The sequence below is a fragment of the Homo sapiens genome, chromosome 6 (assembly GCF_000001405.40).
Source record: "Homo sapiens chromosome 6, GRCh38.p14 Primary Assembly".
Taxonomy (NCBI): Eukaryota; Metazoa; Chordata; class Mammalia; order Primates; family Hominidae; genus Homo; species Homo sapiens.
The window spans coordinates 142351013-142378047 of NC_000006.12; the positions used below are offsets into that span (position 1 = coordinate 142351013).

The following is a 27035-nucleotide window of genomic DNA, read 5'->3' on the forward strand; positions in this document are numbered from 1 at the left end:
ATCACGAGGTCAGGAGATTGAGACCATCCTGGCTAACACGGTGAAACCCCGTCTCTACTAAAAAAGAAAATACAAAAAATTAGCCGGGCATGGTGGCGGGCACCTGTAGTCCCAGCTACTTCGGAGGCTGAGGCAGGAGAACTCAGGAGGCGGAGCTTGCAGTGAGCCGAGATTGCGCCACTGCACTCCAGCCTGGGCAACAGAGTGAGACTTTGTTTCAAAAAACAAAACAAAACAAAACAAACAAACAAAAGAACAAAGTGGGGGCATCACACTACCAGACTTCAAACTATACTACAAGGCTACAGTAACCAAAACAGCATGGTACTGCACTAAAACAGACACACAGACTAATAGAACAGGACAGAGAACCCTGAAATAAAGCCGCACACCTACAACCACCTGATCTTCAACAAAGGTAACAATAACAAGCAATGGAGAAAGGACTCCCCATTCAATAAATGGTGCTGGGATAACTGGCTGGCCATATGCAGAAGATTGAAACTGAAACTCTTCCTTACACTACACACAAAAATCAATATAAGATAGATCAAAGATTAAATATAAAACCCAAAATTATAAAAACCCTGGAAGACAACCTAGGAAATTCCATTCTGGTCATTGGCCTTTGCAGAGACTTTATGACCAAATCCCAAAAACAACTGTAGTGAAAACAAAAATTCACAAATGGGACCTGATTAATAAGCTTCTGCACAGCAAATGAAACTATTAGCAGAAGAAACAGACAGCCTACAGAAGGGAGAAAATATCCACTATGCATCCAACAAAGGTCAAATATCCAGGATCTATAAGGAACTTGAACGGATTGGCAAGCAAAAAACAACCCCGTTATTACTCATCACTAATCATTAGAGAAATGCAAATCAAAACTACAGTGAAATACCATCTCACACCAGTCATAATGGCCATTATTAAAAAGTTAAAAAACAACAGATGCTAGTGAGTTTGCAGAGAAAGGTGAACACTTATACACTGCTGTCAGAAATGTAAATTAGGTTAGCCACTGTGGAAAACAGTGTGGAGATTTTTTTAGCGAACTTAAAACAGAACTACCATTGGACCCACCAGTCTCACTATTGGGTATATACCCAAAGGAAAATAAATCATTCTACCAAAAAGACACCTGCACATGTATGTTCATTGCAGCACTATTCACAATAGCAGAGACATGGAGTCAACCACGATGCCCATCAATGGTGGATTAGATAAAGAAAATGTGGTCCATGTACACCATGGAATACTATGCAGCTATAAAGAGAATGAAATCATTTCCTGTGCAGCAACATGGATGTAGCTGGAGGCCATTATCCTAAGTGAACTAATGTAGGTACAGCAAACCAAAAATAGCACATGTTCTCACTTATAAGTGGGAGCTTGAATTGAATACACATGGACATAAAGACAGGAACAGCAGACACTAGGAACTGCTTGAGTGGGGAGGATGGAAAGAGGGTGTGGGTCCAGAGGCTGCCTCTTGGGTACTATGCTCCGTATTTTGGTGACGATTTGTACCCCAAGCCTCAGCAGCACACAATTTTTCACTGTAACAAACCACCTGTACCCTCTGAACCTAAAATAAAAGTAGAAAAAATTATCTTGTAATATTAACATATATATTTGTATAAGTACATATGTTGGATATTGTATGTATTTTGAAATATACATGTCAAGTAGACATGCTGCCTGACCACAGGGAAATTGTGTGAACATATATATGCATCCCAAAAGCATATACATTATGTATATGCATGTAATAGTTCTCCCCTTTTTTTTGCTTTTTAAAAAACTTGTCTCTTCTTATGAATTTGTAGTACTTAAGAAAAAATATCTGACAAGGAAAGCAAGCAAATAAAATTAGATGAAGTGTGCCAAGGAAAGCAATCCTAAATTTCAGAGGGCATGCCACAAGGTATTCAGATCTCCTCCCTCTCCTTTCTCTCTCTCCACCAAAAACAAACCCAAGCCTTTCCCTATGTGAGATGAAGGAAATCTATAACTTTGTGTATTGGCATTACACAGTGTCACAGTATGAACTCAAGGTAAGTGGGTCATCTTGGAGATATACACTTGCTGTTTTTTCTTTTCCCTCTACTTCCGTTTTTATTGGATAATCCCCAAAGAATCAAAGAGGAAACAGATAGCTAAAGGCTCCCACCCAAGCTATGGGCTCCCACCCAAGCTAAAGGCTCCCACCCAACCTATTTATTTTATTTAAAATAAATTTTATTTTACTTCTTTGCATTCTTTATCACCAATTGCTACAGGAGGTCTAGAGGAAAAGGTGACAGTTTAATCTCCCATGATGTTATTCTAATTATGTTTAACAAGATGCCAATCATCTTGCAATGGTTTAATCATGATTTATATCAAACATTCTTAGTGTAGGATGTCTCCCTCCCAGCCTTTCCCTGAAATCTTGCATCAAATCAGTTGAGACTTGACATTATCTTTTCTTTTTTAAAAAGTTTCTTTTTTTAAAAAAATTCAACAAAGACAGCAAAGGGATTACTATATTAATATTACTTGGATGTTGTATCAAGTAGGTTAGAATTTGATGTACTTTTTAAATTAAAATTTCATTAACATTAAAATTTGCCTTGATTAATGGTTTTGTTTAAAAAGTTGATCTAACTTAATGAGATTTCATGTTTCTTTTTTATATTTCTGAAAAGAGTATGCCCCAAGAGGAGGATTTACACATCTTCTTACATAGCTTTTACATCACTAAAAGCTGTATAAAAACATCAAACTTTGAATTGAAAGGCTGTACCTAAAAATGACGTCATGAAGCAAATGGGTAGAACTGGATAGGATATAGTGCTGTCTTTGTCTTTTGCTTCAGCAGCCCAAATCTAATTGTTGAATAATGTGCTTTAGAGGACAGTAGCCTCTTTCAAACCGAAACATTACAGAAAGTTCCACCCAGGCAATGTGCTATTTCTAGTCAAGTATATGGAGACTTTACATGCAGAGAGCAGCTGTAAAGATGTTGGGATAGGAGCAACTTAGAAACCAGTTCAAATAGAAACTTAGACTTGTGTCCAAAATAGCTTTATATGAATTATAGATGTTTAATGTTCAGCCCTCCTGTAAGCAGATATTTAAAAATAATAAATAATTTTTAGATTTTGCTCTTCTCATTTTCTCCTATTAAAAAAAACCTTGGTGAAACCCCATCTCTACTAAAAATACAAAATTAGCTGGGCGTGGTGGCACGCGCCTGTAATCCCGGCTACTCAGGAGGCTGAGGCAAGAGAATCACTTGAACGAACTTGGGAGGCGGAGGTTGCAGTGAACTGAGATCGTGCCATTGCGCTCTAGCTTGGGTGACAGAGCGAGTCTCTATCTCAAAAACAAACAAACAAACAAACAAAAAAACTTTTGAGTTTTAATGGCCAAATATAATCCTCAGTTTGTCAGTTACACATTATTAAGTCTTCTATGAAATCATTTCATACATTCTCTTTTGTGTTTTGGCCAGGAGTTTAGCCTGAATTTCAAATTCAGTGTGATACCTACATTTCTTATTGATTATTTGTATAAGACAAATAGTAATCAAGGAAGTTCATCTGCATTGTTTGCTTTTGAATTATGACTTAGTTTTATAGAAAAGAAATCTGTAAAACATTGTAAAATGAGATCCCTAAAAGGGACGTATTACAGAAAAAATGTTTTTGACAATTTAAAAGCTATTCCTTTCAGACAAAATTGCATATATGTAAACTATTAACATTAATTCCCAAGCAAATCAAGTTTTATTAAAAATTTTTTTGGCTCAGTTTGCATAATGGAACTAACAGTTCATCTACTTAGAAGCTGTACAACATTGGCTGGATGGCCCTTCAGTAAAATGCCTGATGCCTTGTTCATCCTAAAAACTGAAAGTCTGGTGATTATGTTATAGGGAGAAGACAATCATTTTGATTTCTTTGAATAGAGATTCAACTCGGATTATCTTAGCGAATAACTTATAGAGTGATCTATTATCCAAACATCTCCTATTTACTTTAATTCACTATTAACCAAAAACCTGGGGTTTCTCATCTTTTCCTGGTTGAGATTTGATGGCAAAATGGCACATAGTCTTCCCATTAGATACTCTTCTCTGGAGGAGCAATATATTTGTATCTAAAACTTTGTATTTATATTGAAATTCTAAATTGGCATTTTTTTTTGAAATTTCCCTTTCAATTTTTCCGTAAGATGGACCTCTCTATATAATTTCAGTAATCACTGGGGCTCAGTCTTCCCAGCTATCAGTGTTATTTTCATGGAGAGTGGGGAGACTATACTGTGTTATAGTTTAGGGTTATAATAATAATATACCTATTATTATTTCAAAATGACTTTCCATAGAACATCCCTACTTGATATTCTAAATGGGATCATGGAAGGAATCTAAGTATTAAAATAATATTTCTCTTTCTCTCAAATACCACTACAAAGCTAAATGGTAATCAAGAGCATAGAAGCAATTTTGCAGAGATTTTGAATGATCATTCAACTGCACCTCGATAGTGAGTGGAACAGACAAATGCAGCTGAGCACACCTCTGCTCTCCAGCGACAGGGAGTGAGGTTTGCCACCATTCAAACCTCTGGGGGCACTGACAAGCTTCTATTTTTAGGTCTGTGCCTCCTATTGGAAACATGCTGCACTGTGTGCCCTGTAGACCACCCAGCCCACCCACTTTTTGTGGTTTGGCCTTCTGTAAGGCTTGCCTGCAGGTGTGCCCTTACTCACCCACCGAGAACAAGCTACTCTGCCATTTTTCTGAAGTTTAAAAATATGACTGGCTAAAAGAAGACAGTAAGCAAGTCGATTTTTATACTGTCCTGGAAAGTTATAATTATAAAGTTTGGTGAACTTCGTGAACTTTTTCAAGCATGTTTTTGCCGCAGACTTGTGATTGATGTGGAGGCCCCCTGGGGCATAGGTAAAGCAGTTGAAAGATAGGAAGTTGAGTGAGCTGTCTCTTGTACATAACCTGCCAGAGGCTCTATGAGGTTAATGCATACATTGCCTCACCCCCAGCCCAGTGCAATTTGAAATTAGATAAACATTTTGGCAATGATGTGGCAAACCGAAATTCAACCTTGCTTTTCAATAGTTCTATTAACTTTATAAAAGTAATAAGCTATTTTTTGTAAACTAAGCTGTTAGGCATCAAGAGCACGCTAAAGCAGCTGTATTAAGTAGAAAGGAGGTGATTTTTTTCCTGATGTAACCACACTCTAAATCTTCACAATCTGTCAAAGCTTGCTCTATAATTCTAAGCCAGCAATATTCAAAATAGCACAATAAGTACTGTTAGCAAGATGTGGAAATTTTCTTGAGCAGTAGGAATGTACCCCAGAAGTCAGGATGTTTGCCGACCATTAGCTCTACTTGCATGCAACCTGTATTGGCTGTCCCTTAGGGACTCAGACTTATGGCTCCAAAGTGGACAAATGAACACAAAGTCTCATGAACACTCAAAAAGAGCTTCTTGCTTCATAACCCTGTGAACTATACAGGGCACTCCTTTCCTTAGTGAAGCATCATATGTCTTCATAACTTCCTTGGAAACTTTTTTGTAGTAAAGGGAAAAATTGAGGCTCTATTATGTGTCATAACCTGAATCTGCCACCCATAGTAGAGCTTTAGAGCCAAAAGGGATTTTTTTTTTCTTCAGATGTGGAAATCAGAACCTCGGGGGCTAGTGACTACCTCAAGGTCACATGGTTTGCTAATGGAGGAGCCAAGACCAGAAGCCACTGTGATCTCACTTCGAACATAGCCAAATAACCACATAAGCACGAATTACTTCAAAAGGAAGGTGATTTAGTCTGTCTTATCTGGCACAAAGTAATCACTTACTAGATGTTAGTTGTTGTTAGAGTTATTTTTATTATTTTTATTTCCCTCCCTCTCCAGATGTTATTGTGTTTCACAACAATATGTTTTAAGGGTTTATATGGCTTGTATTCAAATTTTAAAGAAAAGATCTTGTGTAAGTTTAGGTCTGGGGAAGATCTCGAGAGAGCTTCTAGTTTAGTTTCATAATAATATTGTCCTTCCCACAGTGATTTTTTCCACAATAATAAAATATCTTTTTTTAGCTAGATCTTGTGATTTTAGCTAGAAGATAGTTTGAATAGAAGAAAACTTTTTAAAGTTCATTTTCAGAGTTTGCTGAAAAAATTAAGATCATCTGTTTCTCTTCCCCTCTCTCTCTCATTCATACATACATACTCCCCTGATACATTATACCTGAGATCTATATGAAAAGCTAACATTTTATAAATACTTTGAAAACTAATTCCAGTGATGAGTTAATTTAAAGCATTAGATGGATAGCATATTTAAACAAGCTGTTCATGTAAAAATGGAAATTTTTCTTAAAAAAACATTATTTAAAAAAATCTGTATTATGGAATTTTTACATCAGCTCTTATTACTAAGATGTTTACATAAAAAGTGTTCCATAAAGGGGAAAAATTATGCTGGTTGCACCTATAATTTGCTTTGCTCCAAACCTTGGCTATTTAAACTGCTTCCATTTATGTGCACAAACCTGAATGAGTTTTTTTTATGCCCTCAAATTAAAGGCCCGTTTGGAAAACTTGAGCTAACAAGCACACTTATCCTGCCACTACCATCTTTTTCCCAATATATTCTCCCAACTTATTGGGAAGGTAAGTTTGTAAACCCAAAATTTGCTCTAGCTACTAATTTCAGGTCCTTCACCTGCACCACATAACATGGAATAAATAGGAAGCAATAACCCTCTGGTGACCATATGTAAAGACATCTAAAAGAAAACTGGACATGAAAGGAAGTAGGGGCTCAGTAAGTTAGATTAATTAATGAACAAACTAAAATATGGCTAACATGCTTTGCTATTTAATAACAACCACAGTCACAACAACACTGAAAACTAATATTATTTAAGCATCTTACTGTGAGTCATGTATGGTCCCAGTACTTTATATAGATATCTCATTGGCTACTTTCATGTGCTCAAGAAGTTAGTTATGTGCTGTTTAGCCAGTAATGACATCATTGCCTTCATGGGTATTAGAACTATAATTAGCTTTTATGAAGCTAAGACATTCTCTACTTATGTTGGTAGTGTTTAGCAGTATTTTTCTGGTTAATGCCAACATAAACCTGTTCCACCCTGCAATGCTGCCTAGGTAATCCATATGGAAAGATTTTCTGTGACATTCTCATATGAGATGAACATAAGGTGAGTGTGTGTCTTTTAAGTTTCCTGAGTCTTTCTTTAGGTATAATAAAAGCAGATAAGATCAAAATGAGACAAATTTTTGATGAACATAAGAGTAGTCACTTTGCTGCTTTTCTGTCTTATCATCAGCAGTTAGGCTCACTTCAGTGAATTCAGTCCTTGTAGAATAAGTCTGCCTTGCCACTGTGACTGCTAAGTTATTTCCACAAACTGTCAGTGCAGCTTGCTAGCTTTTGTCTTTCTTCTCGTCATTTGTCAGGTCCTTAGAATTGGGCTACAGTGATTTTTACAAGGATCTTTGTTCACTGGTAGTTTTGTATTGTTTATATAAAAAGGAGCAAGGCTTTAAAAAGTATCTGTGGCTGGGCCCGGTGGCTCACACCTGTAATCCCAGCACTTTGGGAGGCCGAGGAGGGCGGATCATGAGGTCAGGAGTTTGAGACCAGCCTGACCAACATGGTGAAATCCCGTCTCCACTAAAAATACAAAAATTAGCTGGGCATGGTGGCACATGCCTGTAGTCCTAACTACTCGGGAGGCTGAGGCAGGAGAATCCTTTGAACCCAGAAGGCAGAGGTTGCAGCAGTGAGCCGAGATCATGCAAGCCTGGGCGACGGAGTGAGACTCTGTCTCAAAAAAAGTATCTGTGCTGGCCTGGTGCAGTGGCTCATGCCTGCATGCCTGTAATCCCAGCACTTTGGGAGGCTGAGGTGGGAGGATCACTTGAGTCCAGGAGTTTGAGAGCACCCTGGGCAACATTATGAGATCCCCTCTACAATTAAAAAAAAAAAAAATATCTGGGCATGGTGGTGCATACATGTGGTCTCAGCTACTCAGGAGACTGAGGTGGGAGGACTGCTTGAGCCCAGGAGGTTGAGGCTTCAGTGAGCCATGATTGTACCAGTGCACTCCAGCCTGGGAGACAGAGCAAGACCCTATAAAAAAAAAAAAAAAAAAAAAAAGTGCTAAACAAAAATCCAGTTATTTTACCTTCCCCAAACTAAAACCTTTTTAGTTTCCCTACTGCTGTTGGTATACTTTCATTTTCTCTAGCATGGCTTGCAAAATCCTGCAAAATCTTATCTCTGCCTACTTTGTCATCTTTATCTCTTATTTCTCCCCACTTTACACACGATGCTCCAGCTGAACTAAATCTTAAGTTACTTGAACAGTCTATGCTGTCTTGTACCTGCTGACCTCACTGCCCAGGACACTCTTTTCTGTTTTGTCTCTGCCTTCCTCCTTTACTTGGCTCACTCCCAAACTGCATATTTACATCTCAGTTTCTTGATTTGGTTAGAAATGGTACTGTTTCTATGAAGTCTAAACCCAGGCTATAGTATAGCACTGTTCTATCAGAGCAATTATCACATTGTATGATCACAATCTACTTATTTATCTGCATTTCCAATAATCCATAGTCAGAGATTATATCTTGTACATGACTGTATTCCCAGAACCTGGCACAGTGTCAGGCAGATAAATGTTTAGTAAGTATTTATTAAGTGCGGGGATGTGGGGAGATGAGAAGAGACAGGAAGTGTGAACAGAGCTAATAAGGAGTGCTGTATATGTCAGTCAAGGGACTTGTCTTGTTGGATCCCAGAGAAGATTTGGAGGTAGAGAAAACTTACCTTCATACTAGGATATTGATAGATCTTTCTGGTAGTGATGTGGAAGATGAGTTAGTTGCAGGTGACAAGAATATTGACAAGGAGACCAAACTTTTATCCAAGAGAGAAAGGATGAGAACCTTAAACTACAGGACCTTAAACTGTGGGAATGAGATGAGGAGCAGATTTAACAACTATGAATAAAACAAATGTCATAGCCCTTGGCAAATTATTTGAGATGGTGTGGGAGAAAGAAGAGAGAAGGGATGTTCAGAGTCCTAATTTGGGTGATGTTCATGCTGCTAACAATTATAAGGAGGATAAAAACAAATTATTTGAGGAATGATGTTTGGACTGATGGCTCTATGGGATATCCAAGTGAAGATATTGAGTAGGTATTTGCAAAGCTAGGATATGGTGCTCAGTAGCACATGTATGTGATGAACATTTAGGTATAATGAAGGCTTTTGTTCAGATGAGATTAGCCAGCGAGAATGAGTATATATAAAGAAGAGCTGAACATAGAGGAGAGCTCTATTAGAGTACTGGCTTGAGGCACACTTGGTTGCAACCAACAGAAATCGACTAAAACCAAGTAAAGTAGTAGAGCAGCAGGTATAATAAGAATTATTGTCATATAATTCTAGGACAGGCCACAAGGAACAGCTCCTACCCTTCATTACTGGATGTGGAATGGCTGGAATTAAAGCACCTCTGTTTCTCAAAAGTCTGGTTTTCTCTCATCTTTGTGCTCTACATTTTCTTTTCTTTTCTTTTATTTATTTATTTAATTTTTATTGAGACACAGTTTCGCTCTGTCACCCAGGCTGGAGTGTAGTGGTGTGATCTCAGCTTACTGAAACTCCACCTCCTGGGTTCAAGTGATTCTCCTGCCTCAGCCTCCTGAGTAGCTGGGATTACAGGCATGTGCCACCAGTCCTGGCTAATTTTTGTATTTTTAGTAGAGATGGGGTTTCACCATGTTGGCCAGGCTGGTCTTGAATTCCTGACCTCGTGATTCACCTCAGCCTCCGAAAGTGTTGGGATTACAGGCATGAGCCACTGCGCCCAGCCTCTACATTTGCTCTCTAGCCCCTTAGCTTCCTGTATTTCCAAGTGGCCAAGGCAGCTGCTGCCTTTGAATTTCTATAATGTCATCATTCTTCTTTTTGTCATTCTCTGGTTGTGTGTGTCTCTAACTTGAAATTCTTAGAGAAAGATAGCATTTGGTTGATTGGCAAAGCCTGTGGTTTGGTTCCCTTCAGGTCAGGCGTTTACTCCTTGGACCAAGTAGTATAAAGATGACAGCAAGAGGTGTGAGAGGAGACAGATCCTCTTGGGAGAAGTTGTACCTAAGAAGATTGAGTAGCTTTTGTAGTAAACTGTTATTTAAAGCAGTACTTCTCAGAGTTTAACTTGCTTATTAATCATCCAAGAATTTCGTTTAAATGCAAATTTTGTTTAGTAGGTCTGGGTTATTCTGTGCGTCAACAAGCTCTCGGATGATGCCCATGCTGCTTGTCTGAGATCCTCCGGCCAAACAGAAAGGATTGTAAAGGCAAGGGTAGCAGAGGTGGTGCTTGGAGAGGGCTGAGAGGGCAGGAAGGAAATGAGGAGAATGGAGAATTTGTGGGTAAGAGACTGTCCAGAAGCAGCGTGTGCTCAGAGGCATCCAGTGCTGGAGAGGATGAGTGAAATAAAAATGGAAGCCACTTTAGTATAAACACTGTGTGAAATTTTGTAAGTTCTTATCAACTGAGTTCAGAGGCCTATGGATTCATGAGCAAGAAGGTCCGCAGCTGGATTAATCCAGAGTTGGGGGTTTGCAGGAAGAGAATAAGGAACTTGAATGAATATGTTAACCAGGAGGTAGATTTGGTGATAGACCATGCAGTTTATGTTGTTTCAAATTATTCATTGCCTTTAGATTGTTTTTTTTTTTTTAAAGCTGGAAAAGCCTCAACCATTGCTTAAGAGAGAATAGTTTCCCACGAAAATATGTGTGGGTGTGTGTACATATGCATACCCATGTGCTTGTGTGTCTAAGCCTCTTGCAAGTGATGTATATCTACATAACAGGCTGACTCTGGAATGATTTACAACAGTTCATTTGTTTGGATCTTCAGAAAGTATTATCTTTTGCAGTCAGGCATGGAATGTTCTCTTGCCAACATGATTATGGAAAGACAGAACTCAAAGTTTAAACATTAACAGTATTACAGAAGAAAGAGATGTGTTTGAGGGTGTGGTGCATGTGGGTATCTTTGGAAATTCAAAAAATTGTCAGTCTTAATGGTGCCTCATCAAGGAAACTTCAGTTCAACATCTTGTTCATTTTCTAGCAATGTCAAGCTTAATTGAACTGATTCAAGTAAGCGGTACCCTTTTGAACTCATGCTTAAGTCGTTGAAGTAGCTCCTTATTCAGGGTGTTTCCAAAGAACGTTTTGGGGTTGACCCATTACAGAGGGAAATGAAACAATTATCCGGTTTACTCAGGAAACCATTGTTTTAGGAGGAGTGTGTGAATGAACTGGTATTCTGGCATGTCTGTCAGAAGTTCTGGTAGGGGATTGGAATGACCAATGTAACCGTGCTTTAAGAAAGACCCTCCTCAAGTGTAGAAATGCTATTTTTGAGTGCAGAGCTTGAGGAGGAGCGGTGAGGGTGGTGGGGATGCTTGCCAAGTCTGTCACATTAACAGAATCACAGATGTCACAGCCAGATTGCCTTGGATTCTATGCCATCTTGAAAAATCTGGATAGTGGTCTGAAATCACTTAAAATAACTTACTTTGATGAAGTCGTCCATTTCTGCATATTATCAATCATTTGATAAATGCCAGCATCTAAAATGTTATTGATATTTTACATTTCAATGATGTTACATCTGACAGCAATTTACTTAGATCTGGAGAAATGGTATGTGGCTATCCTGGCTCTTTACTGACTTAGGTATTAGAACTGATTCTAGAATTCATAGTTGCTGGCCCTTAGGTTTAATTTTTAGAAGCCACCAAGACTACTAAATATTTTAAATGTTTTTAAGCAACAAATGAGCTTTTCATGTGTTAGAACTTAATATATCCTCATGGATAATTCAAATAATGACTGAATAAATGCAGACCAAGCAGGCAACTTAAGCTAAATTTTCTGGAGATAATTTTCACTGACCAGGTTTTTCTACAAGCTCATTAGCTGCAATTTTATATATGTTCAAATAGAGATCAAGATTTACTTAAATGAATTCATTTTGTTCACCATTTAACACAGTCTAGAAGAAGCAATTATTCAATATCATCCACAAATCTGTGTTGAAAGAAGCTAAAATTGATCTCCATTTTGATTTATCTCTTGGGATCTAAAATTCTTGTTTTAAAGAGATTTTAAAGAATAGGCATTTGGATTTTATAAAGAAGTACTTGTGGCAAAGGTAGAGTAAGAATCCAAATCTGAGATTAAAAAAAAAACCTCACAAGTTAATGATTATTAAATCTATATCAAAATGTTATTTATCAATTGAATTAGGCTTTGGCGTGACTGGAAGACTTTTCATTATAGATTAGAGTTTCATTGAAAAATAAACTTGTAAAAATACGCACAAGTAAATTACTGCTAAATATTTGTAAGCATAGGCAAGAACTGAGGGTGGAATTTGGTTTGTTGTTTGTTTGGATTACTTGAAAACCTTGCTTTTATAATTATATGTAAGAATATGTTACCATATCTGTCTTTGAGAACATATTGAGCCAGATGCTTTGAGTTGAGTAGCTTTTAGAATATGTGTTAATCCTGATTTTACCAATACCTCATTCAGTGGCTACTTCAGTAACCATCTAATTAGGTAGCCCTGACTCTTAAGAGAGATCAAAGTAATTACTTACTAGGCTAGCTCATAGTATAGGAATCAATTAGCAGTGATATTTGACTACTCCAAATTGGAAAATTCAAAGCACTATATTTCATACTTCCTAATACTCTTTATTAAAATGTTTCCAAATGAGTTTCTTAAAATAGGTTTATTTTAGGGCTATGAAACTCTTTTTAAGAAATTGTCCGTTTAAAAAACGTCTCTTAAAGAAGCACTTGAGCTCACCGTTTTGTTCTGTATTTTTTGTTTAATTGTGGCAACTTTTTTTTTTTTTTCCTTAGAAGGATACTAGGCTTACATTCAGAAGGGCTGGTTTGAATTTTGGTGCTACTATCAATTAGATGTGTGACTTTGTGTGAGTTATCCAATCTATATTAGCCTCATTTGTTTCCTCTAAAGATAGAGGTGGTAATAATTCTCAGGGTTATTATAATGTTAAATGAGATATATGTGAAAGCTTGTTATTGTGAATTGCTCTATAAGTATAATGAAGAGGATGATACTGTGTCTAGCTTAACTGACATTTCATCTATTTAAGATAATTATTATTTAGTAGCACTATCTCTAAATGCTGTCTAGCCACTGAAGGTAAGAATAATATGGAAGAATGTATCAAATGTTCTTCTGAATTCATGTTATGAGTGTCATCTTTATCTTTTTTCTATCCCTCTGAGTGCCTAAGGAAAAAAGAAATTCTACTAAAGTGGTGTGCTATTTTACCTCTCTTAAAATTTTAAGGCACTAATTTTGTGTTATAGTAATTATTAATAATAGCCAACACTTAACTAGTGCTAACTATGTCCCAGGTACAACTTCCAGGACTTTCCAATATTAATCCATGTTATCCTCCCAATAACTCTGGGAAGTGGTTGCTGTTATTATCACCAGTGTAAAGGTGGAGAAACTGAGGCACAGATAAATTAACTTGTTAAAGATTACACAGTCAGTGTTATCAGTCAAATTTAACTTTCTTATACCCGTGGGTAGGCGTGGTGGCTCAGGCCAGTAATTTCAGTACTTCTGGAGCCAAGGTGGGAGGATTGCTTGAGCCCAGTAGTTTGAGGCTGCAGCGAGGGCCACTACACTCCAGCCTGGGTGACAGAGAGATACCCTGTCTCTAAAAAATAATAATGATAATAAATTTTCTTAAACCCTTTCTTCAGGTCTTAGGGAAGAATTTGGCAAAGATAATATATAGGATAAAGGAAGTCATGCACATAACTTGGGTCTTGGATATAAAGGATGGCATCTCTTCTTGGAAAAATGATGCTGCCTGTCTGCATGTTGCGATGACAGAGGTTGTTGCTTACTTTCCTTTATATTTTTATTTTTAATCTCCAGTGCCTATAACTGGATAAATTATTGTTAATTTCCTAGGATTACTTCTGTCTCCTGAGCCCAAGGCAAAGTAACACAAAGCTGAACTTGTCAGAAAGTCCTAATCATTTCAGTCCTGTGCTGTGAGTGATATAATTGGAAGAAACAGCCCAACACCCCACCCAAAGAGATGTTCCAGAGCACATGTACTCTATCTTCTTTTCAGAATTAGAATTTGTTTGACTTGGTTATACTGCATGGAGTCTTTCTTTAATTTAGGCATGGTTCCCTTCATTTAAGCTACTCATTTGTTCATAAATTTAGCAAATTTTATTGAAGATCTCCTATGTGCCAGAGGTACTGTGCAGTGCTGGAGAGTAGAATGGCAAATATGACAGTCACACACCCTCTGCTTGTTGAGTTCACAAAGTAGTGGAAGAAGATTTACAATAAGAAAATCATCTCACAAATGGAAGTAACACAAGTCCTCTGAATAGTGCTACAAAGCAGAGGAACATGGTGCTCCAGGGATGGATAAGAGAAAGCATTTGGCAGACACTTGATGATCATCATTTATTTTCCATTGTCTGTCTTCGGTCTTGTACAAGATGTCAGAGACTTAGGGAGGAAGAGCAGGAGGAGGGCAAGTTAAAAAGAATGGATGGAGACAGAGTTGGCAAAGTGAAACATTGAGTAATACAAGGTGGCCAAAGAGAAGAGAAAAACCTCACTTGAGCTGTATAAAACATCGAATTAGTCCTTGAATAAATCACCATATCATAGAAGAATAGTAGTATTTGTAGTAACTACCATTTTTCAAGAAATGTTATTGTATATGCATTCTAGTCAACTCAGTAAAAGAGGGAGGGATATAATAAATTTAGTTATTTTCATTAATATTTTTTAAGTATTTTATTGTTTGAAAGTTTATGTGTCCATTTAATGGCAATTTATCCAGTATTTTGAATAAATGAGATTACTGCCTTCATTTATATAAATATGTAAAAGCAATGTGAATATTAGTTGCAAAAGCATCTCTGGACAGGAAGATAGTAGACCTTGGTTTCTGATTCCAACTGGTGGATAAATAATAATTGAGAAGAACCTAACTGTTCTCATTAGTGAAAATGGGATAATAGCATTTCCCCTGTCTACCTCAGAAGGGTTTTTCTTTACATAATTCATTCAATTAACATTTATTGTGAACCTTATACTGAGAACAAATAGTGATGAGCAAAGGAGACATGATCTTAGATCTCATAGGACTTACATTCCATGGGAAAAACCAATGTTCATTTACAATGGGTCTTAATTTTTCCATTCCTGTGATCTGCGGTGCTATACTCTAGCATGCTCATGGCATGCTCCTTCACATCATTCAGTTGGATCTCTCCTCAAATGTCACCTCTTTGGAGAACCAGCATCGCTAACATTGATTTCAGTCTCTCTTTATCCTTTGCTTTACTTTTCTTCCCCACCTTTATCTGTCATTATACTTGTGGTTACCTTTAGGTCCAACACTGAAGTATAAGAATTCTTTATCCAGCCAGGCGTGGTGGTGCACACCTGTAATCCTAGCTACTCGGGAGGCTGAGGCACTAGAATTGCTTGAACCTGGGAGGCAGAGGTTGCAGTGAGCCAGAATTATGCCACTTCCCTCCAGCCTGGGCAACAGAGCGAGACTGTCTCAAAAAAAAAAAAAAAAGATTCCTTTATAGAGAGATTTTGTCTTTGCTGCTCATTGATATTGATATATATTATTTAGAATAGTGCTTGGCACATAATAGACTCACAATAAATATTTACTAAATGAATGAGTAAATGAGATGAGCCCACAAGCATATAATTACCAACTGTGACAAACAAATGGGATAAGTGAATGTATTTTCGAAACTATAAATAATCCATGTTTGCAAGGTGATGCTATTTATTTGAATTTCAGAAAAAAAATACAGTCTGCCAGAAGATAGCTCATTATTTTTTTGTATTGATAGCTTTCTATTAAATTATTTATTTTCTAAGAGTTTCTCTTCCTTTATATCTATGATTTGTAACATTGAGCACTATCTTTATGGTTCTATAACCCCCGCCACCCCAGTTCAGTTACCCTCTAGAGTAGAGATTCTTAACCTGGGTCAGTGAACCTTTGTGAAATTCGCTGTTGCCTCCTGAGGCCTCATTGTACTCCTTGAAATTGTGTGTAACGTGTGTGGCCCCTGCTCATTTTACTGGAGAGAGTTTGTATAACAGATTCTCAGACTGTATAACCTCCCAAATTTAAGAATCATTGCATTAAAATTTTTTGTTTCTCTTTTACTTTTTGTTGCTCTATTGATAATTCTTTTTCTCCTCAAGAGGGTTTCATTTTCCATTTATTTTTTATGATTGTATGTTGGTATTTTTAAATATTTACTGCTTGATTGTCGCCAGTGTGTGGTATTCTCGGTTTATTGCATGCATCTGAACCCAGCCCTTCTCTCTGTCTCTCTTTTGTCTGGCCAGCAGTGTGGGGATGTGCCAACTGCCGAGTGGTTTTGTCCAACCCTTCTGGGACCTTTACTTCTCCATGCTACCCTAACGACTACCCAAACAGCCAGGCTTGCATGTGGACGCTCCGAGCCCCCACCGGTTATATCATTCAGATAACATTTAACGACTTTGACATTGAAGAAGCTCCCAATTGCATTTATGACTCATTATCCCTTGATAATGGAGAGAGCCAGACTAAATTTTGTGGAGCAACTGCCAAAGGCCTATCATTTAACTCAAGTGCGAATGAGATGCATGTGTCCTTTTCAAGTGACTTTAGCATCCAGAAGAAAGGTTTCAATGCCAGCTACATCAGAGGTATGTAAACCAAAGGCAACGCCAACCTTCTGCTTTTATTTAACATGTTCTGCAGTAAACACAAGGACCAGAAGACAGAGTTATGCTCTTTTATGTGAATGTGAATGATTAGGATTGGGATATAAGGGCAAGAATCTGTTAATATTCTCTGAGCATTCTTGTTAGCAAAATATAATTACCAGATCCAAAATGTGGTTACAGTAGAGTTGAATTCTTTTATATTGTTTATATGTGGAACATTTAAAGGCTGCTTGGAAGACACTGTAGATATTCCACGGCTAATAATTAAAATCTATAATTCTAACATCTCTCCACTGAAAATTTAAAACATCCCTATTTAGACATCATTTTATTTTGGGTTTTATGATGTTGTCCTTTTAAGGAACTATGGTAGGGAACAAATACAGAAAATGAACAGTAAATTTTTAACAAGCTATTAACAGTTTAAGCTAATAAATAACACAGCTTGAGGAAAGCCCTCTGAAAATGGCTAACTGAATGAAATAAGGCATATTTTTATTAAATATGTTTTCTATATTCTGGCACAACATAACATTTAAATAATCTTTCTCTCTAAAACCTGTGTTTCCCTAAAGAAACTCAAGCTTCAACATGGTGAGACTTAGTTATACTGTTTTTTTTTTCTTCTGTGCCTTCTAAGTAAAAACAAACAGAAAGGTACAACTATAAAAATGACTATTATGATTTAGTTATACTTTTTTTTCTTCTGAACTTTCTAAGTAAAAACAGAAAGACACGACTATGAAAATGACTGACCCTCACTATTATAAATTGTGTTTTTTGATTGTGGAGTTATTGATTTGTGTTTACCATGGTTAAAACACACATGCTTAAATTTTTCAAAATATTTTAAATTTTTCAAAATAATGTTTTAAAAATGATAAAATATAGGACATTGGAAAACAAAAAAAGCAAATTAGAATTACCTATACAAATGCCACCCAGCCATAACCACTAATAAAATGTTGATGGAGATATTTATTTCTAGGCTTTTAATTTTAACAATGCATGTAGAATACTGGTTCATATTGTGTCTCTTTGCATAAGTGAACCTATAAACTGCCTTATATTTAAAACGTAAACTAAAGTCCATGATTCCTTTAAATTCTATCATAGATTTTTACTAGAATAGTTATACTAAAACGATGTTTTATTATAGAACTATTCTTGATGTACTGAATATTAAAATATATTCAAACTGTTTTTCATATGAAACCAGTATTAAAAAGTATTTTTGAGGAGAAATACTTCTTTCTCAAATTAGTTTCACAATGGCTATTATATTAGCATAGGGCTAAATCTGTTGTATTATGTAATAATTTTGCATGTATCATGGATTAGGTGAATACATTTTTATTTTGAATTTATTGCACGTCTATTACAATAATAGTACTTGCTATTTATTGCTGTGGTACTGGCACTGCTCTGTGCCTTGGACATATTAACTTATTTAATTCTTATTGACCATATATACAATAGGTGCCATTGTTGCCCATTTTACAGATAAGACAAAGGTAGAGAGAGATGAAGTAACATACCCAGGGTCACATGGCCACTACCCAGAAGAGCTGGAGTAGGAAACTCCATGGTCTGCCCTTTACTACTCAAAAACTGGCTTATATGCCTGGATACCTTAAATCTCCACTTTGTTTGACTTTTCACTAGACTCCCTCTCCTTAATAGAATTATTTTTGCATTTGTTCCTAAAACAGCCTGATGATGGTGGAAAAAATAGGAGGATATAGAGTAACTGAAAGGGAGATGGCAGTACAGGAATGTTTGGAAAGAGTGAAAAGTAATCATTAATGAAAATAAGAACTATTATTTATGTTTAGAAATCATTTGAAAAGTAGTATTTTTGAAAATCTTAATGTATAAACAAAGCCTTCCTGAAACCAGTTATTTCCTTAATTAGGTAGTTGGGGTTTTTAAATTGTTAATTTCTTAGTTTCAGGATTAAAAAATACTTATCAACTTTGCTGGCTGTAACTCAAAAGTTTAGGTGTGAGATCCAATCATGACTAGAGATGAAATGAGTAGAATTTCTTATTATTACTGATATCAGACGATTGGTAATGGGCTGGTGACAGAGGATAGATGAGTAAGAGGGGAGGGATGGGGCAAATGGTAGGTAAAAAGTTAACTAGTAGAAAGCGATGGAGGGCTTGATGTTTTGCATCACATTAGTCTGTGTTCTGAAGTTAACAGGTTTATCTTTCTTGTTATGTTTTGTCCTAGTTGCCGTGTCCTTAAGGAATCAAAAGGTCATTTTACCCCAGACATCAGATGCTTACCAGGTATCTGTTGCAAAAAGCATCTCTATTCCAGAGCTCAGTGCTTTCACACTCTGCTTTGAAGCAACCAAAGTTGGCCATGAAGACAGTGATTGGACAGCTTTCTCCTACTCAAATGCATCCTTCACACAATTGCTCAGTTTTGGAAAGGCCAAGAGTGGCTACTTTCTATCCATTTCTGATTCAAAATGTTTGTTGAATAATGCATTACCTGTCAAAGAAAAAGAAGACATTTTTGCAGAAAGCTTTGAACAGCTCTGCCTTGTTTGGAATAATTCTTTGGGCTCTATTGGTGTAAATTTCAAAAGAAACTATGAAACAGTTCCATGTGATTCTACCATTAGTAAAGTTATTCCTGGGAATGGGAAATTGTTGTTGGGCTCCAATCAAAATGAAATTGTCTCTCTAAAAGGGGACATTTATAACTTTCGACTTTGGAATTTTACCATGAATGCCAAAATCCTCTCCAACCTCAGCTGTAATGTGAAAGGGAATGTAGTCGACTGGCAAAATGACTTCTGGAATATCCCAAACCTAGCTCTGAAAGCTGAAAGCAACCTAAGCTGTGGTGAGTTTGTAGCGTATTCCTTTTTTTTTTTTTTTTTAGCATTATTCTATGAATATGATTGTCAACAAAGAATTATACATACACACAAATGTACCTGTATGTATATTCACACATATAGACATATATATATATGTTGTCATTAAAAAGCTCTTTTAATTTTTAAAATGTCGTCTGCTCAGCTCTTATAGCACACATTTGATTATAAGCCATGCATGCTCCATCAAGACATTTGGTTTTACCATTCTTAAGTTTTCCCTATGTCATAAAATATCACAGAGTTTATCACGAATATAACAATAGTTATAATTGTGGAATCTCAAATACAAATGTTAACACTAGGCTTGAAACAAAAGAAATTAATAAGTAAGTTATTGGTATTTTTTTTTTGAGACAGAGTCTCACTGTGTTGCCCAGGCTGGAGTGCAGTGGGGTGATCTTGGCTCACTGCAAACTCTACCTCCTGGGTTTAAGAAATTCTCATGCCTCAGCCTCCCAAGTATCTGGGACCACAGGCGTGCACCACCACACCCAGCTAATTTTTGTATTTTTTTAAAATAGAGATGGGGTTTCATCATGTTGGCTAGGCTGGTCTCAAACTCCTGACCTCAAGTGGTCCACCTATCTCAGCCTCCCAAAGTGCTGGGATTACAGGTGTGAGCCACCCTGCCTGGCCAGTTACTGTTTTTTTTTGTTTTTTTTTTTTTTTTTGAGACAGAGTCTCGCTATGCTGCCCAGGCTGGAGTGCAGTGTCATGAGATCTCAGCTCACTGCAAGCTCTGCCTCCCAGATTCACGCCATTCTCCTGCCTCAGCCTATCGAGTAGCTGGGACTACAGGTGCCCACCACCATGCCCGGCTAATTTTTTGTGTTTTTAGTAGAGATGGGGTTTCACTGTGTTAGCCAGGATGGTCTCAATCTCCTGACCTCGTGATCGGCCCACCTTGGCCTCCCAAAATGTTAGGATTACAGGCATGAGCCACCGTGCCCGGCCCAGTTACTGTTTTTAATCACAAAGGTGATACAGTAATAAACTGATCTATATCATCCTGGAATTAAATTTCAATTGGATGACTTAAATAAACAACCAGCACCTAAGAGAATAGTATTTACTCAGCCAGTTTAAATATCAAAACTGTCCATTTTATAGAAAATCTTAATCAGGAATTATCCATTTTTTTCTTTGAACATTTTTCTCCATTTTTTTTAAAATGAGGATTTATAGTTTGTTTCAAATACTGTGCTGTCTCTGGTTCTTCTTTGTGAGACTGTAAATGTGCTATTATTGGAAGTAGCTAAATGCAGAATATTTTGAGAAATAATTCTGTGTGATAAAAATTGTATTAAAATAGATCTCCACCTAATATTCTCCATTTACACAAGTTAATTCTGGAAGCCTTTATTTTATTATAGGACTGATTCAAACACAAAAAGTAGAAGTTTCATTATCAACTTTAAATGTCATATGACTAAATCTAAGGCAGTGATAATATATACATTTTAGTCACAGACATAACTCTCAATTAAAAAGGAGAAGAAGGAGCCTAGTATTCAAAAGTAATTTGTATATGATATTGGAGGGAAGTTTACTGGGAATTTATTCCCACGCTTTGAGCAAAGTAGCACCCTTATGATGACTCAAGGCCACCTCCCAATTTCTCAGACCCATGCCTGCCCTTCTGGCCTGAGAACTCCTGTTACCCACCTGTTCGTGTGGTCCATGGCACTCCTACAGGTGGTGGAAAGGCTGTGAAGTGATGTCATTTGAAAGATATTTCCTTGCAGGATGTTGGAAAGTAGATAAACCACAACCCTGTTCCACAAGGGAACTGCAGAGCTTTATAAGAGCTGGTGATGTTCCCTAAGATCTTCTCTCAGTGTTAGGATAGCTAGAAAGGACCTTCAGGGACTCCTTGAGAAGTCTTTTATCAGAGAAGAAATTGAGAAAGTCAGGTGTGTATGTTTGGTGTGGGACAGTGAAGAATAAGGAGAGGGAATGGTGCACTTCCTGCATTCTGGGTGACTGTCTTTAATTCAGGGGTCTCTTTTCACCATAGACTGGGACATTATTAAGAAGTCATAGTATAGACCATTCTAATATTTGCCTTTTTATGGGACAATGTTTTGAAGATGTCAGCAACCAAAACAAATATGGCTATGTTAATAATTGCTAATACTTATATTTAAATTGAACACACATTTTGTACTAAATGTCATTTTAAGCACTTAACACATATTGGTTGATTACCTACACCATAGATCCCATGTTACGGGTTCTATAATTGATCCTATTTTGCAAATAAGGAACCTGAGGCACGTGGAGATTAACTAACTTATCCAGTGTCTCTTAATTAGTAAGTAGCCAAGCCAGGATTGGAGCTTGGAAAGTTTGGTATTAGAGCTGTGCTCTTCTAACCAGTATAAATTAGACTGTCATTCATCATAAACAGGATTAGATATTAGATTTAGTACCAGGATAGGCTAAAGCTCATTCTTGCTCAGGGGAGAAGTATGAAGGTCCAAGAGCCATCTCTCTGGCCAGCAGTGCATTCTGTGAGAAAACACTAGGTTTGCAGTGTGTTAACATATTTGTTTCAAACAAATAATATTTGTTTCCCACAATACTTCCTGGATACCTAACTATGAAAAAGTATGATTCAGTTTTACAGGGATTCCTAAGCTTCTCTAAGAATTTCTCTAGACCAGAGGTTGGCAAATTAGGAGGGCCTGTAACAGGCCATGCATTTTTGTTTACTTGTTTGTTTAGAGACGGGGTTTCACTCTGTCCCCCAGGGTGGACTGTAGTGGTGCCATCAGAGATCGCTATAACCTTGAACTTCTGGGCTCAAGTGATCCTCCTACTTCAGCTCTCCTGAGTAGGTAGGACATCAGGTGTGCACCACCATGCCCAGCTAATTTTTTAAAACATTTATTGTAGAGATGAGGTCTCACTGTGTTGTCAAGGCTGGTCTTGAACTCCTGGCCCCATGTGATCCTCCCTCCTCAGCCTCCCAAAGTGGTGGGATTACAGGCATGAGGGATTGTGCCCAGCACACATGTTTTTTTAATACTTGTTTTTCTTTTTCTTTTCTTTTTTTTTTTTTTTTTTTTTTTTAAGTTGGGGTCTTACTGTGTTGCCCAGACTGGCCTCAAACTCCTGGGCTAAAGCAATCTTCTAATCTCAGCCTTCTGAGTAGCTGGGACTAAGCTCCCTTGTTCTTATAAATAAAGTTTAATTGGAACACAGCCATGCCCATTAGTTTATATATTGTCTTTGTCTGCCTCTGTGCTACAATGGCTGTGTTAATTGATTGTGATCAATACAGTATAGCCTGCCATCCTAAAATGTTTACAGTCTAGCCCTTTAGGAGAACATTTGCCACCCCCTGAAACTAGTCTAAAGAACTGAGAGTCCGCTTTGCTGAACCACATACTTTGGACAGCACTAGAAAAGACCTGCTAGATCTCCTCAGCCAGGGAAAACAAACCAATCACCCACAGGCTAGTTTAGCCCTACGACATGGGTGGTGGTAGTAGCATTTATTTGTTCCTGTTCATTTACATTTGTTTCACACAGTGCTTTTAATTGATGAATTATTTCCAATATTAAACAATTAGATTTCACATAAAAATGAAGTTTTGGATTTTTCTGGTAAACAGAATACACTAGGCTACTATATCTGCATGGCCAACACAGCTGGAGCTAAATGGTGGCTGCTGCTTTCAAAGGAGCTTCCCAGTTTACTTTAGCCCTTAGCAACCCCTTATTCTTCCCACTCCAGCCCCCTTTTTGTCTTTAGATGGCCATCTGGCCCTGATGGGCTTTTAAATGGGAATGCTGATTTATGCCACTCCCTTTATACGGGCCAGGAAACTGAAGCTTAGACAAAAAAAAGTGGCAGAGGCAGTTGGTGGGCTCCAACACGTGTCTCCTGTCTCCTTGTCTAGTATTTATGTCTGGGAATACTCATTTAAAAAATTATTTTAAATTATTTTAATTGATTGATAAGAACTATATGTGTTTATGGTATACAACATGTTTTAATATAGGTATACATTGTGGAATGGCTAATATGAGCTAATTAACTTTCATTGTTATCTCATATACTTATCATTTTATTTGTAGACAGAACATTTAAAATCTCTCAGCAATTTTCAAGTATACAATCATTGTTATTAACAATAATCATCATGTTGTACAATAGATTTCTTGAATGTATTTCTCCAGTCTAACTGAAATTTTCCATCCTTTGACCCATACATTCTCAACTCCTGTGCCCCATCCACCCCTGTGCCCCTGGAAACCACTCTTCTATTCTTTGCTTTTATGAGTTCAACCTTTTTAGGTTCCACATTTAAGTAAGATCATGCAGTTCTCATAATTTCTTAAACTCTGTCCCTGAGACTCCTTTCCCAAGCCTTAAGATTATCGGAGTGCATCAAATACATACTCATGTATCTTAGTCATCTATAAGTTTTCAAAGTAATTTTGTCAAAAGGGTACCGTGAACTTAACGGAGTCAATATATTTGAGTCTTTCTAACTTTTATAGTGATCTTCTTGCCATTCCAAGTTGACGTTAAACACTCACATTCCAGACATTCAGATGTCCTGGACTGTGTTTCAGGAGAAATGATGGGAGAGGGAATTTCCTGCTGCTTAATCATCAGCTTTGGGAGTTGAAGAGTCCAAGTCACTCATTAACTGACAGGAAATACCTGTAAACAGAGATTATATCAAGGCTTGTTAGCTAAGCAAATCTTTGATAAGTGTACCCTGTTAACATTTTAACCTTTCATTTTTTTTCCAGGAAATGAAAGCATCTTGCTGTTTATGGTTATAATTTCCAACAAACTAATCAGTACAGTAACCAATGGGAGAATAGAAATTTATTTCTAGCATTCCACTGAATGGACAATGTCTGCTAAATATGAGCTTTTATTTCAGGATTAATTTGTGATGGAAAAATAAATAGATTTTGCAAAGGTATATTGCTAAATAAATTTTAGTACGAAAGTAACATAGTAGAATTGAACTGACTCAATTCAACATTAAAATATCCTGTCATTTTTTTCACATATTAAACATCCTAGCCTTAATAAAATTGATATATTATTAATAAATACTCTAACGATTTTAGTATATGACTTTGTTTTCCTATACTTTTCTAAAAAATATTTGGGAATTTTACCTTAATTAGGAAATTTTCAGCAGATTTTTAAAAACATGGTTAAACCTGTCAATACTTTTAAAAACGAAATGTTTATTTAGCAGTAAATCTGCTTCATTTTATAGCATCTTCATTTTTCTCATAACAATTTTATTAAATACATTCAGTTTTATGACCCTCATGGATAGATAAATTTTTAGTGGACTCTTTAATTATAGGTGCAAGTATTTATTTGCCTGTGTAATGATTCAAGTTTAGATACTGGCTGATGTCCGTCAATTTTCACAAAGAACAGACAGTGCCTTCTCTACTAGTTTTATTTATTTTACTGATTACTACTCTTTCCTGAGGGAGTGGTACAGTATAACGCAATGAATAGTCTAAGTTCAAACAAATTACATTTATTTTAACAAGCATTTATTAGGCACTTCCATTGGTTAGCTACTGTGGTTGTAGAGATAAGACACACTTCATAAATACTTTATTGTTATTCTTTTCTGAAATTTCTGGATTTGTATTTTTGTTTCCCTCTCTAGGATTTTTTACAGAGTTTGCTAAGGTTTCATCAACTCTTGGATTTTTACCGTTTCATAATCATTACAGTTCTGTTCTTCATAGCTATAAAACTTCAATTCATTATTGGCTCCTCCCTTGCACTTCTAACAAATGATTGAATGTAATATTTTTAGATTACTAAATCATTTTTAAATAATAAAATTAAGATAAATCATTTTATCTTTGCAAAGGACTTTATACTCTGAGGATGCCCAAACTCTTTATGAACATAGATGACTAAATTTCACTTTAAATATATTTATTTATGAAAAGTTGAAAAATTCATCTTAGTAGCAACTGCAAAGAAAAAAATGAAAGGAATTACTGTTTTTATTTTTCTGTTATTGCAACTTATTGTGAGGATTTGCTCTTCAGTTATTTGGAGTATCATTAAGTAGGTATGAGAGGAGCAGTGGGCTACACATCAGTCTTTTTTACCACAACTTGTGTAAATATTAACATATAGTGACTCCTTTCAGTAGCATAATTTGGAAAGTACAACAGATAGAGAAGGATTAACAGCTTTAGAGCTTTTCCTCAACTGCCTGTTTCCAGTGATTACATTTTTTTCAAGAAAACTTGGCTCTAAATGTTGCTGTTAATGTTGTAGAACTTTGCTTCTTAGTTCAGCTAGAACCCGGGTTCTTGTCACACAACTAGGAAAATTTAGGCACACGGACACATCGAGTGGTCAGTAGAGCAGGACTTTATTGGGCAAAAAGGAAAAACAAAACAAAAAACAACAACAAAAAGCTCAGCAAAGTGAGACGGAGGCCTGCCAACAGGCCCTCCACCTCACTGATTGATTCCCAGGTCCCCACAGGAGCTGGAGAGAGCAGCCTCCTCCCCTGCATAAGGCATGAATTCCCCGTGGCTCCACCCACCTCCCACAAGTCGGGCTCCAGTCCTCTATGGGCAGGCTCAGGCAAGGCCTGGGCAGGTTTCCTCATCTGCACGAAAGCATCTGATGTAAACACTTGTGGGGCGGGTGGGAGATTCTCCGGGCGCCCCTTTTTATCTGCCTAGACATTTGGCTGTCTCATTAATATTAAGTAAACACCTGAAAACACCTTTCTGGTAGCCTCGAAAATCAGTGAACACATACACATCATATTCTAAAACCAATTTGTTGATGATAAAACATATCATTATCCAGGAGAGTGGATTGTTTGTTCTTTCTTAACAACCTCCTGATGTGTAAATCCATCAGCCAAAGAAAACTGATTGTGATATTGACTTTTTATGCAGATATGCTGAAAATGGAACTGGGTAGAAATAAAGTTTGTATATACTTTTGATAGTTCATGTATTTGTTTATTTTGGTGTGTTTGTAATGCAAGTTTTCATTTATCAATTAAATTTCCTTTTAATTAAATTAGTCACTTGTATTTATACCATTTTTACTTAAAAATATTCCAGTGTGATTTTTATTGTTATATTGGATCATATTAAAATAGTGTTTATTGAGTGTTTAAAGCAATGTCAATTTGCTAAACTAGAAGTTCCCCAGAAGGAACAGCTAACTAAAATAC

General features: G+C 36.8%; 1 protein-coding gene across 16 annotated transcripts in view, besides 2 other annotated features; it reads left to right on the forward strand.

The window, feature by feature from the left end:
• The window catches only part of ADGRG6 (adhesion G protein-coupled receptor G6), a 144255-nt gene that overhangs the window by 49006 nt on the left and 68214 nt on the right, over positions 1-27035 (forward strand). For 9 of the 16 annotated variants that reach the window (XM_005267061.4, XM_006715516.3, XM_047419106.1 and 6 more), the window contains exons 3-4: positions 16554-16898; positions 19158-19781. In XM_005267061.4, coding sequence (XP_005267118.1) covers positions 16554-16898; positions 19158-19781 — 969 coding nt within the window. The remainder of the gene's footprint in view (positions 1-16553; positions 16899-19157; positions 19782-27035) is intronic. The other 7 variants (NM_020455.6, NM_198569.3, NM_001032394.3 and 4 more) reach the window with 1 other exon arrangement.
• Positions 23239-23840: an enhancer, noted in NCBI's record as "OCT4-NANOG hESC enhancer chr6:142695388-142695989 (GRCh37/hg19 assembly coordinates)". NCBI's record gives its function as "activates a minimal SCP1, AML or CMV promoter by ChIP-STARR-seq in primed H9 embryonic stem cells {active_cell/tissue: H9 hESC(primed)}" and the evidence as "EXISTENCE:reporter gene assay evidence [ECO:0000049][PMID:30033119]".
• Positions 23798-24997: an enhancer, noted in NCBI's record as "MED14-independent group 3 enhancer chr6:142695947-142697146 (GRCh37/hg19 assembly coordinates)". NCBI's record gives its function as "activates an origin of replication core promoter dependent on BRD2, BRD4, P300/CBP and CDK7 cofactors, and independent of MED14, by STARR-seq in HCT116 cells {active_cell/tissue: HCT116}" and the evidence as "EXISTENCE:reporter gene assay evidence [ECO:0000049][PMID:35650434]".